This window comes from Homo sapiens, chromosome 8, assembly GCF_000001405.40.
Source record: "Homo sapiens chromosome 8, GRCh38.p14 Primary Assembly".
NCBI lineage: Eukaryota > Metazoa > Chordata > Mammalia > Primates > Hominidae > Homo > Homo sapiens.
Window position 1 is genome coordinate 47629179 of NC_000008.11, and position 18509 is coordinate 47647687.

Sequence of the window (18509 nt, forward strand, 5' to 3'; positions counted from 1 at the left end):
TAATCATATGTGTTAGGATGGTAGTAGGGACACAATTGTCATCCACCTCACAGGAGATTGTTTAGTAGATTAAGTGAGATAACAAAGATGAGATGCTGGACACCCAGTAGGTCTGGGTTTTGGGGGTTTTATTTTATTTATACATAGCAGGTATTGGCAAGCATATTATTTTAGGCTTGGCGGGCCATACCACAGTCTGAAAGCATCAGTCTGAAACACTGAAAGCAGCCGCAGACAATAATATCTAGATAGATGGATGTGGCTGTGTGCCAGTAGAACTTTAGGTACAAAGGGCCAGGTGTGGTGGCTCATGCCTGTAATCCCAACACTTTGGGAGGCCGAGGCAGGTGGATCACCTGAGGTCAGGAGTTCGAGACCAGCCTGGCCAACATAGTGAAGCCCCTTCTCTACTAAAGATACAAAAATTAGCTGGGTGTGGCGGCATGAACCTGTAATCCCAGCTACTCAGGAGGCTGAAGCAAGAGAACCATTGAACCTAGGAGAGGTGGAGGTTGCAGTGAGCCGAGATCGTGCTACTGCACTCCAGCCTGGGTGACAGAACGATACTCTGTCTCAAAAAAAGAAACTTTATGTATAAAAATCGGGGACAGGCAAAATTTGGCCCACAGGCCATAATTTGCCAACCTCTAATCTATATAAATAGGTAAATTTCTTTATGTCTGGTATTTCCCTTGACTTTTCTTAAAGGGATAAAAGGGAATTTTCAGCCACTTTTTTACTATAGTTCCAAGTTCCCATACTGCACATCAAAATAATACTTGAAGGTACAAATATGTACTTATATATTTTGAACTATATGCAGAAAAAATGTAAAATTACAGTGCTGAATGTATTCATATGTTAATTTTTAGATAAAATAGCTTCTGTCACATGAGGTAAAATGATGTGACATTTTGAAATGTCAAGTTTTCTCACCATACTTTGTCTCAAATATGTTAAATTACAAAATAATACACGTAGCAAATTGAATTTTTGAACCAAGATAAAGTAAAAATTAAAACCCTTATAGGAGAATTTATTGTTCACAAGTGAAAGAAGGAATACTGGGGAAAATAGAAGAGCCTCAGAAGGAAAAACATGTAAAATATGATGAAAGCAATATTTAATGTAAACGTTGAAAAGAGCAGTAGAGAGGAGTGGAAAAGCATCCAGGATTTGTCATCAAAAGCTCAAAATTCCGGTGCCAGCTCTGGTCTCTACAGGTTTGTGACCTGGGGCAACTTACTTAATTGCTCTGAGCTTCAGTTTTCCCAGTACTGAGTGGACAGAATAATATACTTTATATACATTGTTTTAGAGTGTTAAAGAAATGTGTGAAGTGCTTTGCCCTAGAACTTTCCATTGCTATAAATACTACTGTTTACTGTCCACATAACAGATGCAGTTCCCTACATCCATCCTGGGTGATCTGAAACTGCCTTCTGAGAAGCGTAGTTGGCCTTTCCAGGGCAATAGGACTTAAGAGGACCTGTAGCTTGTCTCAGTTACCCACACATTGGCCTTGGCTGTCATCCCAGCCTTTACAGGTGTGCATAGGTCAAATGTTGTAACTCTTTACTCAGAAAATACCACGTGACCTATAGCCCCCTATGGTCTTCCCATGCACCTGTATGGCTGATCCGACGTTCCTGGTTCTTGTTCACATGGGATATAGACCACATCCATTTATTATGCCCTGTTGACTCAAGAAAGTAAAAGCTACAACCATGGGGCAGAAGGCACAGTACCCCTGTAACACGGAATCCCAGGCCTTCTTAAAGGGCAACCTACAGACTGTGAGAACAAGAACTCAACAACAGCCCCCAGCACCCTGAGGGAAGAGGCAGGCAGAGGCCAGGATGAGGGCGTCGGAGGGAGGGACGGAGAGAGACAGCGATGAAGAGGCTGAGGCCCTCATCTCTGACCACTCCCAAAGGTCACATAGGCACTGGATGGTAGAGGCAGAAAATAAGCCCTTTCTCTTTCCAAGTCTCTGCCCTGCCTCATGCAACCCATGGATCCTCTGACTCTGAAGTGGGCAGACGGGCACCCTAGACCCAAACTTGTGACTGCCCCAAGGCTTTGTAACCATGGGGAAAAGAAAGATTGCAGTCTTTAGTTGAAGACTTTGCATTCTCTGTGCCCTCGGTTATAACAATAGGTTTTTAGAAAAATCTGTCTTAGGGTCAATTTATAGTTCTTCAAAGTAAGAGCTGAGGCTTTTGTTGACAGTCAACTGGGTCTTACCTCCTGGTGGTTGCATATGGCATGCATTAATAAATGAATTCTAAAACCACACAAATATTACTGAATATGTTCAAACTAAAAAGCAACACAGAAAAGTACTGGATTTATGATTCATCACAATAAATTTATCAGAGAAAATGGTGAAAGAGGAAATGTGTGTCTCTAAAACAGATTTGGATTTTATTTATTTGGGACATATAAAAGAGGAAGGAAGAGTTGATAAAGAATTCTTATTTGACTCTTCAAAGTCACTGTTCACCAGAAATTCAGAGAATCAACATACAAATTACAATGGTAGTTTGTTTTCTGGAAGGCCAGTGAAATACAGCTCCTTAATTTATAATGAAATTTACTTTCTAACAAATTAAGTCTTTCTAATGAGACCAACATTGAGAATTCAGCCCTTACCTCGGGATGGTCTGAGAAAACCAAAAGGCCAACTGTTTTATTGCTTTAGATCAGTTAGGTGATGATAACTATGAGCATTTATAATAATATTTTAAATTGGCCCTGAGAGGCTTGAAGACATAGAACTGAATGTACTGCCAGATATTTTTGCAGGAGTCACAGATGTAAAAGAGAATTCTGCACACACATCCCCCTCCCCAGCACCCAAATGCAGCATATTTTCAGTTAAATCCTCTGGAATGGACTATTTTTAGAGAAATGGCAGGGGGAAGGGTGGCTAGGAAGCATGTTCTTCACAACCTTTTTCATTATGTACTACAAAAAATATTTACGTTTTAATTTAATCACGACATGTGCTGTACTGTGGTTCACCCTACTGAGAGTGAAATACCGAGTTGAACTACCATTTCATCTTCTTCAAGCAAACTGCAAAGTTTCGCCTACTCTGAAATTTGAGAGTTAACACATGGTACCCAGGCCTGGGCTAGGCTTGGCAAAATGCAAAATGCAAGCAACATTGCTCAACATCACACCCTTTCACTGCACTCACAGCCCATCTTGTGCATAAAATAATGTGACAGCCTGGTTCATTAGTATTTTTCATGTAATTTTAAGTACCATTATAGGTTTCAAAATTTGCAAAAATAGAAAAATTATTTTACTTCTACTCCCAGTATAATTATTTTACATATTATCTTCTAGTCTGTTTTATAATATTTATTTTAAATTGAAATCATAAAACTTTTTTTTGCTCTTAGCCAAAGAATGTCGGCAAACTCTAATGGTCCTCATTCCCACTGCACAGCATTTCAGTTTGACTTTACATACTCAGGGGAAAAGAAGGCAGCTTGGTTGAGAAACTGCAAGATCCCAAGTGCCTGTTTTTTGTCTTTTGTTTAGTCTTGTTTTTTTGTTTTTTGTTTTTTTGAGGAACTAATGAATAAAGCACACAAAATCTCCGAGCAGTAGCTGGCCTTTCAGGGGCACGCTGCACAGCAGTTCTGGAGAGGACAGTATCTCCAAGGGTGGGTGAGTTCCCCATTGCTCAGAGGAATCAGCCAAGGGGCCTGCAGCGGAAGCTCCCAGGCTGAGCTGGAACTTGAAACCAGGTCTGTCTGCCTCTGCACCTTCAAGCCAACAAGGGCATAAGGCAATTTGCCTCTATAAATGTAGCATCCAACTTATTTCACATTCTGTGCTCAGTAGAACAGTGACCATTTAGAAACACTGGTAACAGCATAAAAACAATTATTCTCATTCACTCTAACGGAAACTACCACTAGTACAGAATTGAAAAATACAAGTAATACTTTCATTTGAGGCATGAGCATTTATCTGTCAGCTTAACTTGTGAGAAACCTGGCTGTCATGATAAGTGTCTGTAATCAGGAGTTAGGCAAATTAATATTATTTGCATTTTTTTATGTCTAGAAAATATTTATAAACAAAAAGCCAGTCATCTGAGACTCTAATGAAGGAAGGAAGTCAAGACAAGGAAGTGTTTCCTTGTCTCCTCCTGCTTTTGTTGACTGTGTGGGTAGCCAGGAAAGGACTACAGTCTTCTTTATAGGAGGGGGATGGCAGCAGAAGCAACAGGACCATGAACCAAGGAGAATGTTCTCACCTGCTGCTGTTGGACCTCCAGGCCATGCCATCTGATGTGTATAAGAGGATATGGAAAGATTTAGGTTTTTTCTTTTTGAAGACTAGATATGCAAATGATTGAAAAAAAAAAAAAAACAAAAACCAAGCATGGTGGCTTTGGGAGGCCAGGGCAAGAGGATTGCTTGAGGTAAGGAGTTCAAGACCAACATGGGCAACCTGGGCAGACACTCAGGAAGTGGGGGTGGGAGATACTGTTTACTGACTGCATTCCTCATCACCCTCAGTTAATGTTTATTAGGTATACTCAAAGTACAGGGCAGTATTATGGCTTGAAAAAAGCATAATGAACTTAATAAGTTAAAAATAACCTTGAGGCTGAGCGTGGTGGCTCTCGCCTGTAATCTCAACACTTTGGGAGGCTGAGGTGGGCAGATTGCTTGAGCCCGGGGTTCAGAACCAGCCTGAGCAACATGGCAAAACCTGATCTCTACCAAAAATACAAAAATGTAGCTGAGTGTGGTGGTGCATGCCAATAGTCCCAGCTACTCTGGAGGCTGATGGCAGTTGGATGGATTGAGCCTAGGAGATTGAGGCTGCAGTGAGCCAAGATCGTGCCACTGCACCCCAGCCTGCGTGACAGAGTAAGACCCTGTCTCAAAAAAAAAAAAAAAAGAATTACCGTGACTCCTGTCTAGTTAGATCCTCAATGCAACTTTGAAAAACAACGAAAAAAGGGCCGGGCATGGTGGCTCATGCCTGTAATCCCAGCACTTTGGGAGGCCAGGGTGGATGGATCACGAGGTCAGAGTTCAAGACCAGCCTGGCCAAGATGGTGAAACCCCGTCTCTACTAAAAATACAAAAATTAGCCAGGCATGGTGGCGGGTGCCTGTAATCCCAGCTACTCAGCAGGCTGAGGCAGAGAATTGCTTGAACCCGGGAGGCAGAGGTTGTGGTGAGCCGAGATCATGCCACTGCCCAGAAGCCTGGGCGACAGAGCAAGAATCCATCTCAAAAAACAAATTAAAAAAAAAAATGAAAAAAGAACTTTTCCAAATACAAAAGTGAGAAAGGAAACTTAATATTCTGACTCACTGAATTCTTCCAGCGGAAAACCTCCACTCTATAGAGACCCTGAAATTAGTAAGGATGTTCATTAAAGCCATTGTGTTTTTTTAGCGTCATGCACTGCACTGCCCAAGAGCCAGAGGACACCCTGCTCACCTGGTCCAGGCCTGGCTGTGGTACCCCTGCCCACCATGGCTGAGTGGGAGGGCGAGCTGTCATTGAGCAGTGCAAACTACTCCCCTGGCTCAGAGCCTGTACCCACACCATCCTCTCACGCCTGGGCCAGGCAACCTTTGCTGACTTAGCTTCCACAGAACATTTGTTTTCTGCTTTGTAGTGTACTGCCTCCACAGAAATGAATGGAGAATTGAACAGCTGGAGAAAGTTTTTCACCATCCAGATTTCACCAGTGCATCTCATTTATCTGGCTGTAATGATCGATCACCTGGCCCCAGTAAAGCATTTGTATGATCAAGTAACACTTTTCTTGAAAATGGAGTCCTAAAGTTTGCTGTGTTGTCAGTTAAAAGAACTGTGGGTTGGGGGAAAGGGAGATGGTTAATGGGTCCAAAGATATAAAGATATAGTTATAGGCTGAGTGCGGTGGCTGACACCTATAATCACAGCACTGTGGGAGGCCGCCAACATGGTGAAACCCTGTCTCTACTTAAAAAAAAAAAATACAAAAATTAGCTGGACATGATGGCACATGCCTATAATCCCAGCTACTCGGGAGGCTGAGGCCCAAGAATCGCTTGAACCTGGGAGGTGGAGGTTGCAGTGAGCCGAGATTATGCCACTCCTCTCCAGCCTGGGTGACAGAGTGACTGTCTCAAAAAAATAAAATAAAATAACTAAAAGATTAAATTGGCTTATTTGTAAAACAATGAAAGGATAAATGCTTGAGGGATACCCCATCTACCCTGATGTGATTAAGTGTTGTATGCCTGTATCAAAATATCTCTTGTACCCCCATAAATATATACACGTACTATGTACCCTCAAAATTTAAAAAAAATAAATAAACTGTGGAAGAACTATAACCAAGCATCAAAAAACAGATTGCCCTGGCCAGGCGCAGTGGCACCTGTAGTCCCATCTATCAGGAGGCTGAGGTCAGAGAATCACTTGAAGCAAGAGTTTGAGTCTGTGGTATGCTATGATCATGCCTATGAATAGGCAGTGCACTCCAGCTGGGGCAACATAGCAAGACCCTGTCTCTAAAAAAAAAATTAAAAAAGAACAGATTACCCTAAGAAGAGGATATTTGGGTGAAGGTGCTTCTGACCTCTGGGAGGAAGGAGAAAGCTGACATGCTTACCTGCTTCCCAGTGGGTGAAAATTGGGCAGACATACATGTTGGCTTTCTGTGTAGCCTTGGATAAGGAGACCCACCCACAAAGGTAACTATTTCCTTATATGTAGAGAACTTTAGTCAGAAAAGCTTTGCAGTAATTTGTGAATGCTATACAGGCATGGCTCACTTTATTATGCTTCACTTTACTGCACTTTGCAGATAGAGCATTTATTTACTACTTGAGGGCTTGTGGCAACCCTGCATCAAGCAGTTCTATCAGTATCATTTTTCCAACAGCATGTGTTCACCTCATGTCTCTATCACATTTTGGCAATTCTCATAATATTTCAAATCCCTTCATTATTATTATCTGTTATGATGATCTGTGATCAGTGATCTTTTATGTTGGTATTGTAATTGTTTCAGGACACCACCAACCACACCTATATTGGATGCCAAATTTAATCAGCAAATGTGTGTGTTCTGGCTCCTCTACTAACTGGCTGTTCCTCCATCTCTTTCCCTCTTTTGTGACCTCCCTATTCCCTGAAACACAACAATATTGAAATTAGAGAAGTCAGTAAGCCTCCAGTGGCCTCGAAGTGTTCAGATGAAAGGAAGAGTTGCACATCTCTCACTGTAAATAAAAAACTGGAAGTGATTAAGCTTAGTGGGGAAGGCATGGCAAAAGCCAAGACAGATCAAAAGCTAGACCTTTGCATTAAACAGCCAAGTTGGCCAGGCGCGGTGGCTCATGCCTGTAATCCCAGCACTTTGGGAGGCCGAGGCTGGAGGATCACTTGAGCCCAGGAGTTCGAGACCAGCCTGGGCAACATAGTGAGCCCACATCTCTAAGAAAAAAATAATTAGCCAGGTGTAGTGTAGTGCCTGTAGTCCCTGCTACTTGGGAAGCTGAGGTGGAAGGATCACTTGAGCCTGGGAGTTCAAGGCTGCAGCGAGCCATGATCGTACCACTGCACTCCAGCCTAAGCAACAGAGCAAGACCCTATCTCAAAAAAAAAAAAAAAAGAGATTGTCTAAAATTGCAGCTATTTGGAAACATTTACTAGTGACAGAACAGTAAGATAATCATGCCTGTCGTGAGAGTACTGTTCCTTCTGAGGGTATTGATTACCAAATCTCAACCAGGAGCCTTGGCAGGAGGGTGAGGGGTCCTGGAATTGACAGACATTCACCATTGTCTTCGTAGACTCAAATAGTATGTCCAACACAAATATATTCTACTTTTGGAAAGCACATAGATGTGATTTTTTAATTAACTAAAGTATGTACTTTATTCGCATTTCCTTAGTGTTTACCTAGTGTTACCTAATTATGCTCCAGGATCCCATTCAGGACACCACATTATACTCAGTTGCCATGTCTCCTCAGGCTCCTCTTGGCTGTCACAACTTTTGAGACTTCTCTTTTATGACTTTAACAGTTTTGAGGAGTGTTAGGTATTTTGTAGAATGTCCTTAACTGTGCCCAATGCGGTGGCTTACGCCTGCAATCCCAGCACTTTGGGAGGCCAAGGTGGATGGATCACTTGAGGCCCACAGTTCAAGACCAGCCTGGCCAACATGGTGAAATCCCTTCTCTACTAAAAATACAAAAATTAGCTGGGCATGGTGGCACGCACCTGCAGTCCCAGCTACTCGGGAGGCTGAGGTGGGAGAATTGCTTAAACCCAGGAGGCAGAGGTTGCAATGAGCCGAGATGGTACCACTGCACTCAAGCCTGGGCGACAGAGCAAGACGTGCTCTCAAAAAAGAAAAAAATCTCCTTAACTGGAATTTGTCTGATTTATTACATATGATGAGATTGGAGTTATGTGAGTTACGTGTTCTTAGGAGGAAAACCACAGGATAAAGTACAGTTTTCATCATGTCGTATCCAGTGTACACTCTGTCAACATGAGTTCCTGCTGTTGATACTGACCTTGATCACCTCCCTGAGGTAGTACTTGTCAGGTTTCTGCACTATGAAGTTACTGTACTTTTTCCTCCTTTCCATCCTAAAGTCTTTGGAAGGAAGCCATCATGCACAATGCACACCTAAGGAACAGAGAGCTCCAATCCCCTTGTTTGATGGTGGAGCAGTTGTTTGGAATTCCTCTGCATGTGAGATTTGTCTCTTCTCTACTTTTTTTTTCAATTATTTATATCACTATGGACTTGTACATATTTATTTTACACTTTGAGTTATAATCCAATACTATTTTATTTATTTTGTTGTTCACATTGTTCCAGTTTTTTTCCCTTGGAGTTATTTCAATTGATATCTGTATCCCTTTGATATACTCCCATAATTTTGAGTGTTCTGTTTTGTTTTGTTTTGAGTACTTCTTTACTCCCTGTCACTGTAAGATGTGCTAGGCTTATCTTGTATATTTTCTGCCTTCATCCTGGAATCAGCCATTTTTCCAAGGAGACCTGGCTCCTTTTTTTCAAGAATGGTATTAGATACCAAGAGGTACAAGAAGATGAAGGAAATACAAGTGCAATTTATTTATTTATTTAAAAAAGAGACAGGGTCTCACTATTGCCCAGGCTGGTCTCAGACTCCTGAACTCAGGTGATTCCCTTCCCTCAGCCTCCCAAAGTGCTGGGATTACAGGCGTGAGCCACCATACCCGGCCCAAATGCATTTTATTGCATAGAGTTGATACTAGCATTGGTAGTCATGGCCAGATAGAGGCTTTAGAAGTATGAATGCTCGGTTGTGGAATGTTTGATATGTACCTCTTGCTACTGGGAGAGCTTCTATAGCCCCAGGAAAAGATCCTTTTCTCAAAACTGTTCTATAGATAGACTTTATTTAGTTGTTTACTAATTTGCTATTTCTTTCCTGTCGCTCATTTTTCAGTATCACTGGTATCCTATCTCCATAGACAATACTTTTATCATTTACTGCCTTCCTGAAGTATTTCTGGAGGAGATAGTGTGAGAATTTCTGTCAGCCTCAGTAACTCCCTGTGCCATTCCAGATCCCTGGTGGGCCTCACTTTTCCTTTATCTCCTCTCCAGGCTTCTTAACTACATGCCAGCATTATCACATACTCTAAATCATTTCAGGATATCATCGGCATGAACGGTTCCTATTCAAAATAAGGCTCTCTGAATGATTTACCATTCTTTTTATGAGTCTCTGGTGCCTAGATACCATGGTTTCTGTGATCTGTGATGATGGTATTGAAAGAATGTGCATTCTCAAATACTTCTTAAAATATTGTTTGGCTAGATAGGAACTAGGTATTTTAACTACCAATTGTCAAATAGTAAAAGCTTTCTTTTAGCCTCAGAATTTCTGTTTTTATAAAAGTTTGGTATGCTAGCTAAGGAGTGTTCTAGTTATGGTTGTCTTTGGTGAAATGACACTAACAGTACATGGGAGGGAAGGTGGAATCGTCCACGTGTGCTCCTTTGTTGTATGTGTGGCTCCCATGGAGAAGTTCTGTAGTTCTTCACACATTATAAAAAGTGTTTTGTTGCATAAGTCATAACAATGAATATATATTAAAATACCTCAGTGCAGCAAATTAATTAAGTCTGCTCTCTAGGGATTTCTAGACTAGGTAAGTGAAATGGTTCACTCCTTATTTCACTTGTCTCTCAGAGAGATACATTATTTCTGGACAAAAGTGGACACAAAATTGTTGGATTTGTTCATGATTTTGTTTTTGACTTTTAGTTGTAGTTGTTGATTTATCTAGGGAAGAGTGTATGGCGTTCCTTTACCCTATAACTTCACTTCCACGTATCAAATATTAGATGTGGAATCTTCATATTCGACTACATATTGAATGTTTCAGGCCCAGTGATGAATCTTTTCTATCCAACTTAAACAGAAGGAGATTTATTGGCCAGGTGCAGTGGCTCGCGCCTGTTATCCCAGCACTCTGGGAGGCCGAGGCGGGTGGGTCACTTGAGGTCAGGAGTTCAAGACCAGCCAGGCAAACATGGTGAAACCCCATCTCTACTAAAAATACAAAAATTAGCCGGGCTTGATGTTGCACATCTGTAGTCCCAGCTACACGGGAGGCCGAGGCAGGAGAATCGCTTGAACCCGGAGGCAGAGGTTGTAGTAAGCCGAGATCGCACCATTGCACTCCAGCCTGGGTGACAAAAAAAAAAAAAGAGAGATTTATTAATGGATTTTAAGTGGCTTTTAAGCAATACTGCCATGGAAGCTGCTGCCTCTTCTATTAGTACAACCAGAAATATGGCAAGTCAGCTCACGTGCATCCCCAGAGCCACAGCCGACAGCAGGGAACTGCATGACCCCCAGAGCTGTTGCCTTCCAGCTTTCGAACCACTTAGTGTGGGCTGCAAGCTGAATCAACACACTGGATGCCCCATTCCTGCCATTTAATGCTGCAGAGCTATTGGCCAACACCCTGAGATCTTTTGTTAATGTTATGCCTGCTGGCAGAAGTAGCACAGTTAGGCCCTCTGCTCTGATTGACAGGTCCCAAGTCACAGGGGAACCTGAGTTGGGTAGAGTTTGCTGACCGGCCTCTGGAGTTAGGAAGGCCCATAGAAGGCGATTGGACTCCTTCGTACCCACCAAAAGAGTTAGAAAGAACTCTTAGGAAGAGAGAAGTAAAAACATATGATCAAAGCAGACAATAACAACAAAGTCCCACAGTCCTAAAATTTCATTTTAGAATGCCATTAGCTGTAGAATGTAGCATATAAAAAGAGAGAGGGTGGCGTGAGGAAAAAATGTTTTGTCCTTTAACTTAATGTTCTATCTTTCTAAAAGAATTCAAAGTCCAAATATTTTTATATGTATTACTTGGTAGTAAGTATGAAAAGTATAAAATTTTATGCTATGGACTACAACCATTGAACTGTGATTTTTTGTTTGTTTTTTGTTGTTGTTGTTTTTGAGACGGAGCCTCGCTCTATCGCCCAGGCTGGAGTGCAGTGGCACGATCTCAGCTCTCTGCAACCTCCACTTCCTGGGTTCAAGCAGTTCTCCTGCCTCAGCCTCCCAAGTAGCTGGAACTACAGGTACACACTGCCACACCCAGCTTTTTTTTTTTTTTTTTTTTTTTTTTTTTTTTTTTTTTTTTTTTGTATTTTGGTAGAGACGGGGTTTCACCGTGTTGCCCAGGCTGGTCTCGAACTCCTGAGCTGAGGCAATCTGCCCATCTCGGCCTCCCAAAGCGCTAGGATTACAGGCGGGAGCCACTGCGCCTGGCTGAGCTGTGATTTTTAAAAGGAAATTTTTAATTAGATGCTGAAAAAGGGTATGCATATTTGAGGTACACTTTAAAATGTTTTTAAATAAGCAAATGTTAATGCAAATAGATATTGCAAACACTAAGAAATTAAATAAGACTAGGTAATTTTTAATTTAATTTTATTTAGAGACAGGATCTCACTGTCACGCAGACTGGAGTGCAGTGACATGATCATAGCTTACGGCACCCTCCAACCCCTGTCCTCAAGCCATACTCCAGCCTTGGCCTCCCAAAGCACTGGTGATACAGGTGTGAGCCACTGTGCCCAGCCAGACTAATCAATTTTGACTTTTCTCTGTACTACTTGCTATATCCAAGCATGAACTTGTGTTATTTTTGAATATTTTTTATTTCTGTGATGTAAGATTTGTTATAGATTCATTCCTGCTTTATATCTCAAGCAAGATTCAATTCGATGCATTTACTTAGTAGAGTGCCTACTATAGATGAGACGTTTTAAAACAGTATGGCCATTACAAATATATGTTTAATGATAGTGAGTAGTAAGTGCTTAAAGTAATAATGCTAAGCTTTAACAGTTCTTGAAATTTAAGTAAAAGGTAGTGGTACTAACACAAGCATGAAGGAATGCCACATGTGGCTGGAGTGCTGCTGGGCTCCCCTGCAGCCTCTCAAGGGAGGAGGATGAACACTCAAGGGATGGACCAACTGAAGCAGGGAAACTTGGCCACTTACTGCCTGACATAGAAGCCCAGCTGACTGCTGCATCTTACCCAGCCCACCATGTGTAAGAACTGGTTGAGACGACATTGAATTCCCTAAACTTCTGGGTGCTCAGTGGTGAACTGAGATGGAATACCTGCCAGCAGCTGGGCAGAGGAAAGAAAGCCAGCACTCTGGGAAGGTAGGCTTCACCTACTTACATCCTAATGGGGACTCACAGTGGCAGCAGAGCTGTGCAGAGCCTCGGGCCCTGGCATGGTATTCCAGCCAGAGTGGACTCTGCGCACGTGTGGGAGCAGCCCTGGCATTCAAGGATTTGCATTGAAGGCCTTGGTTGAGGATGCTGTGAAGGTGGCCACTGTGTGTATGGAGCAGTGACTTTATGGGTCAAGAATTCGACATGTGGCTGGGCACAGTGGCAGACACCTGTAATCCCAGCACTTTGGGAGGCCGAGGCAGGCGGATCACGAAGTAAGGAGATCAAGACCATCCTGGCTAACACGGTAAAACTAAACTAAAAATACAAAAGTTAGCCGGGTGTGGTGGTGGGCGCCTGTAGTCCCAGCTACTCGGGAGGCTGAGGCAGGTGAATGGTGTGAACCCAGGAGGTGGAGGTTGCTGTGAGCCAAGATCGTGCCACTGCACTCCAGCCTGGGCGACAGAGCGAGACTCCGTCTCAAAAAAAAAAAAAAAAAGAAAAAGAATTCGACATGTGCTTGCTATGTGAGGCCAGTGAGTGAACCCGCACTCTGAGGCTCAGCATTTATAGGTCAAGACAGCCCGCTGACTTCTTTGGGACCTGTCATAAACTCTTCTAAAGTGTTAATGTTTTTCGTATGCAAGAAAGCTCACCAATAAAAGAGGAAACTTTAGGGAAGGTTGAAAAGCAACTGTGGACTGGCCACGGTGATTTATCCCTTTAATCCCGGCACTTTGGGAGGCAGGAGGATTGCTTGAAGCCAGGAGTCTGAGACCAGCCTGGGCAACAAAGTGAGACCCCGTCTCTACTAAAAATTTAAAAATTAGCTGGGCATGATGGTGCACGCCTGTAGTCTTAGCTACTTGAGAGGCTGAGGCAAGAGGATCGTTTGAGGCCAGGAGCTCAAGGCTGCAGTGAGCCATGATGGCAGCAGAGTGAGACCCTGTCTCTAAATAAATAAATAAATGGAAAAACAATGGGATTTGATAGAAGGCAGGAACATGTACAAATATTGCAAATTTTTGCAAATTTGGGAAATTATGAAGATCTTAATCATACATATGGATTCTAGCATATGGACTGTTATTGATTGAATCTGGATTATTTTAGTTGGTTCTACTTTGTTCTACTGCATTGAAAATCATTGTTAGTATATTTAGTCTTCTCAGCTAACATCTTATACCTAGATAACTGTTGAGGTTTATAAAGGCCTTAAAACATGAATAATACTTACACAACTGTGGGATGCTTTTTTTTTAACTGAATGTATTGTAAGTCAAATTCAGTCCATATCTAAAGTCTGAAAATTTTAATATTCAGATGACTAATAGGTATAACTCTTTACCTTCTAGTCTGCATTCTGTAGTATTTGCCATACTTCTATAACTGCAACTTCTATTTTATTTATTTTAATTTTTTATTTGTTTGTTTTGAGACAGTCTTCCTCTCTTACCCAGGCTGGAGTGCAGTGGTGCAGTCACAGCTCACTGCAGCCTTAGTCTCCCATGCTCAAACAATCCTCCCACCTCAGCCTCCAGAGTAGCTGGGACTTAAGGCACATATCACCACACCTGGCTAGTGTTGTTGTTGTTGTTGTTGTTGTTGTTGTTTTCTAGAGACGGTTTCATCATCTTGCCCAGCCTGCTCTCAAACTCCTAGGCTCAAGTGATCCTCCCACCTTGACCTCCCAAAGTTCTGGGATTACAGGCGTGAGCCATTGTGCCTGACCGCAACTTCTATTTTAGAGAAAGCTGCAACTCAATAATTAGTGGAATATTTCCTATGTATATTATATACACAAAAAAGCATTTGCCATGAAAAACCTAAACTGTGTATTCAAAAGCTTTAATATAAACAGTATTATTCAAAATGGAAAGACTTTCATTCCTGCCCTCATGAAATAGAAATTCAGCTATATTTGATCATGACTGTAGAATATTACTAGAGATTGGGTTTTTTATGTTATGTTTTGTTCAAGTAGATACACCTTTTTGAGGTCATTCATATAGTTAGTGACATGTAAATGCTTTTTAACTACACTGTTTAAACAGTATCAACAGAGGCTTCGAGTGTGATGTTTACATTTCTGGAACTTACGGGCTGTACCCTCAGTCTGTCCTGGAACCTCTGCATTCCACCCTCAGTCTATCCTGGCTGCTGTGAAGATGGAGTGCTGGTGGCTGGTCGTTAGCAGTCACTCCACCTCACACCCAAGTTTAGCCACATGGCCAAGCCAGTCCTGTGGTGTTTATCAAGGAAGAAGGGCCCTGGAGATTGCAGGCTCCACTTTCTGCCTCCCCAGCCATCCCTTTACTTGCATACCTGGCAGGAAGGGTTAGGTAGGACAGCCAAGCACAGCATAAATCTGAACGGAAGCTGATGTCAGGTCTCTCTCCTTCTTAGCTGTGCCCCACAGCTGTGCCCCACTATCACGCAAGTTGTTTCATGTGGCACATTCTGTGATGATGACGTAATCGTGTTACCTTCATTTACTGAGTGCTTGCTAGGCATTACAAAATTATGAAGCACCTCCTCGTGTTGGGTTTAGGAATATAGAGCAATGAACAAAACAGACAAGGGGCCGGCTCTCCAGAATAAAGTAAATAAGATCATTTTCAATTGGTTTGTAGCCAGGTAACCTTGGACAAATTACCTTATACTTTACTTTTCTCATTTGTAAAATGGAGGTTATGATGGTATCTCCTTATGTGATTGATATATTAATGAGATAATACTCAAAAAGCACTTAGAACAGGTCCTAGTACATGGTGAATGCTAAGTGCTCAAAAAGCACTCCCAATTATTATGAGACATAATACTGTGTGCCATGATATGGAGTAACCTGGATAGGAGCATCAAGGTCACCTTGGAATGAGCAGTGAGGGGAAGCTGAAGAGGGAGAGCTTCAAGGTGAAACCTAACGGATGAAGTGGAGTCAGCCACGAAAAGCTCCAGGAGACACACTTTCCATGCAAAGACACCAGCTATTGCAAAGAAAAGGATGGACTTGCTGTGTTCTAGGAGCAGAAGAGAGGCCAGTGTACCTGGGATGTAGAGATGTACCCAGGGGCTGAGACAGATGATTAGCACACAGAAGAGCCAGGTGCCAGAAGTTTAGACTTCATTCCAAGGACAGTGAGAAGCCTTTAAGGTTTTCAGCATGAGATACATGTGATCCAATCTGTGCTTTGAAAAGATCACTCCAGCTGCTCCAGATCAAATGGAATGTGGAGGTACAAGAATAGGAACAGGAAACAAGTTAGGCTATTTCAAAAATCCAGCCAGGTCAGACTGACGACCTGGACCAGAGTGCTTATGGTGAAAAGCAGAAAGGCTCAGGGTCTGTTTTAGAGATATGGTTTACAGTAACAGCTAAAAATCAGATGTGGGATGATAGGAAGTGGGGGCTCAAGGATGACTGTGAGGTTGTTGGACTGGTGGTGGTGTGGTCATTGAGGTGAGGGGTGACTGGGGGAGGCCAGAATTCTAGTGATGGCCTTGTTGAGGTGGAGACCTCTAAGACACCAAGCTGAAGGAGTCAAATTGGATATGCGCTTACCGTGGAGGAGAGAGGTAAGCACGTGAAGGCCAGGCACTGGACCCGGGAAGGAATTATCTTCTCTAGTCTTTATAAAAACACTGTAAGATAAATAACATCTAGCTATGGGAAACAGAAATTAATGAAAGCCACTTTCTAAGGTTAATTTTAAGTTAAAGGATTTTTTTCACCTTAAAGTAGTAGATAAACCAGTGGAATAGAGAGTCCCAAATATATACAGGAACTTAGTTAATAATACATTTCAAATCAATAGGGAAAGATGAACCATTCAATAAATGGGTAAGGACAGTAGGTTAGCCATCTGGAAAAAGAAATGAATTCGATTTACACTTTAATCTTACACCAAGATAGGTTACAAATGAATCAAAGATTTAAAAACTGAAATCGTAAAAGTTCTAGAAGAAATAGTGGGAGAAGTATCTTGAGGTGGAAGTTTTTTCTTGATTTTTCAAGATTTTTCTTGATTCAACATCCATGGATCCAAAAGAAAAAATTAAGCCTACATGACAAAATTAAAAGTTAAATGGCAAATTGAGAATATATATGTATGATTTGTATTACAAAGAGCCACTCTTTCTAGTACATGAGGTACTCATAGAAATTAGTAGGGAAGACTGACAACTCAGTATAAAAATGGGCAAAGGGTATGAATACACAGTTCATAAAAGGAAAAGATGCTCAATGTCTCATGATAAAAAATATGAATTAAAATAACACTATTATTTTTCCCCTACCAATTTTGCAGAAATCTAAAATTTTAGTAACTTTTGTTTGGTGAGGCTGAGGGGCAATAAACACTCTTCCTTTGGTGGAGGGAGAGTACATTGTCACCACTCCAGAGAGAGCACCTTGGCATGTGTATATACAGATGTGTGTGTGTGAATTTTAAACAGGTCAGCTCTTTGACCCAGCACTTCTACTTCTTGGAATTTATCCAACAGATATACTTGTGTATATATGAAATACAAGCTTATTCCTTGCCCCATTCTTTGTGATAGCAAGTGGAAATGGCCTGAAGGTCAGCATTAGGAAATTAAAAATTATGGCACGTGCTCATAGTAGAATACTATGCAGCTCTCTATATGGCTACAAGAAGAATGAGGAAACAATGAACTGTCACAGAAAAATCTATGACATTGGTTACATTGAAGGAATGGTGGGATGCTTGAAATGGGCTATATTCCTTGAATATATAGAGAGAAACTTTTGAAGCATATGTGAGAAACAAGTAACAGTGATTATCTGTGAGGGGTAGCTGGGAACTAGAGGATGGAGGACGGGAGCTGGACAGAGGGAAATTTGTCACCATATACCTTTAAATTTTGAATTATATATATTACTCAGAAAAATGAAAGGACTTTATATATAGTTATTTATCTTGAAATGTTTAGACGTTATATATATTTTGGAAAGCAGTATATACAGCAATAATGTTATACTCTTTGACCCAATACTCCCTAGAAATTTAATTCATGAAAACTAAACAAAAACTACACATAAACGCTGTTCTTCTTCATGGTAGCAATACCTATAATAATGGGGAAAATAGAAGCAACCTAAATGTCAGTGTGGGGGATTATTTAGTTGAATAATATGACATACAGCTTGATATAATGTTAAGCAACTGTGTAATATAATTAAGAAGACCATGCTGAAACATTTATCCATTCAACAAATATTTATTGTGTGCCTACTGTGTTTCAAGCATTGTTCTAGGTGTTAGGGATACAGCAAGAAATAAGGGCCAAAATAAATAAATAAATCCATACACCATTGGAACTGCCATTATTTGGGGGAAGACTGGCCACAGACCAATAGATATAATGTAAGAAAGTAAGCCCAGGCGCAGTGGCTCACGCCTGTAATCCCAGCACTTTGGGAGGCCGAGGTGGGTGGATCCCCTGAGATCAGGAGTTCGAGACCAGCCTGGCCAGCATGGTGAAAACCTATCTCTACTAAAAATACAAAAATTAGCCAGGCGTGTTGGTGCACGCCTATAATCTCAGCTACTCAGGAGGCTGAGGCAGGAGAATCGCTTGAACTCAGGCGGCGGAGGTTGCAGGAGCCGAGATTGCGCCACTGCACTCTAGCCTGGGTGACAGAGTGAGACTCCATCTCGAAAGAGAGAGAGAGAGAGAGAGAGAGAGAGAGAGAGAGAGGGAGAGAGAGAGAGGGAGAGAGGGAGAGAGAGA

General features: G+C 41.8%; 1 protein-coding gene across 57 annotated transcripts in view, besides 1 other annotated feature; it reads left to right on the forward strand.

Moving 5' to 3' along the window:
• The window catches only part of SPIDR (scaffold protein involved in DNA repair), a 475429-nt gene that overhangs the window by 368301 nt on the left and 88619 nt on the right, over positions 1–18509 (forward strand). Inside the window, exon 11 of one of the 57 annotated variants that reach the window (NR_148202.1) lies at positions 11521–11642. The exons of the other annotated variants lie outside the window; for them this stretch is intronic. The gene's annotated coding sequence lies outside the window, so the exon portion shown is untranslated. The remainder of the gene's footprint in view (positions 1–11520; positions 11643–18509) is intronic. 57 annotated transcript variants of the gene reach the window in all.
• Positions 11088–11588: an enhancer, noted in NCBI's record as "H3K4me1 hESC enhancer chr8:48552828-48553328 (GRCh37/hg19 assembly coordinates)". NCBI's record gives its function as "activates a minimal SCP1, AML or CMV promoter by ChIP-STARR-seq in naive H9 embryonic stem cells {active_cell/tissue: H9 hESC(naive)}" and the evidence as "EXISTENCE:reporter gene assay evidence [ECO:0000049][PMID:30033119]".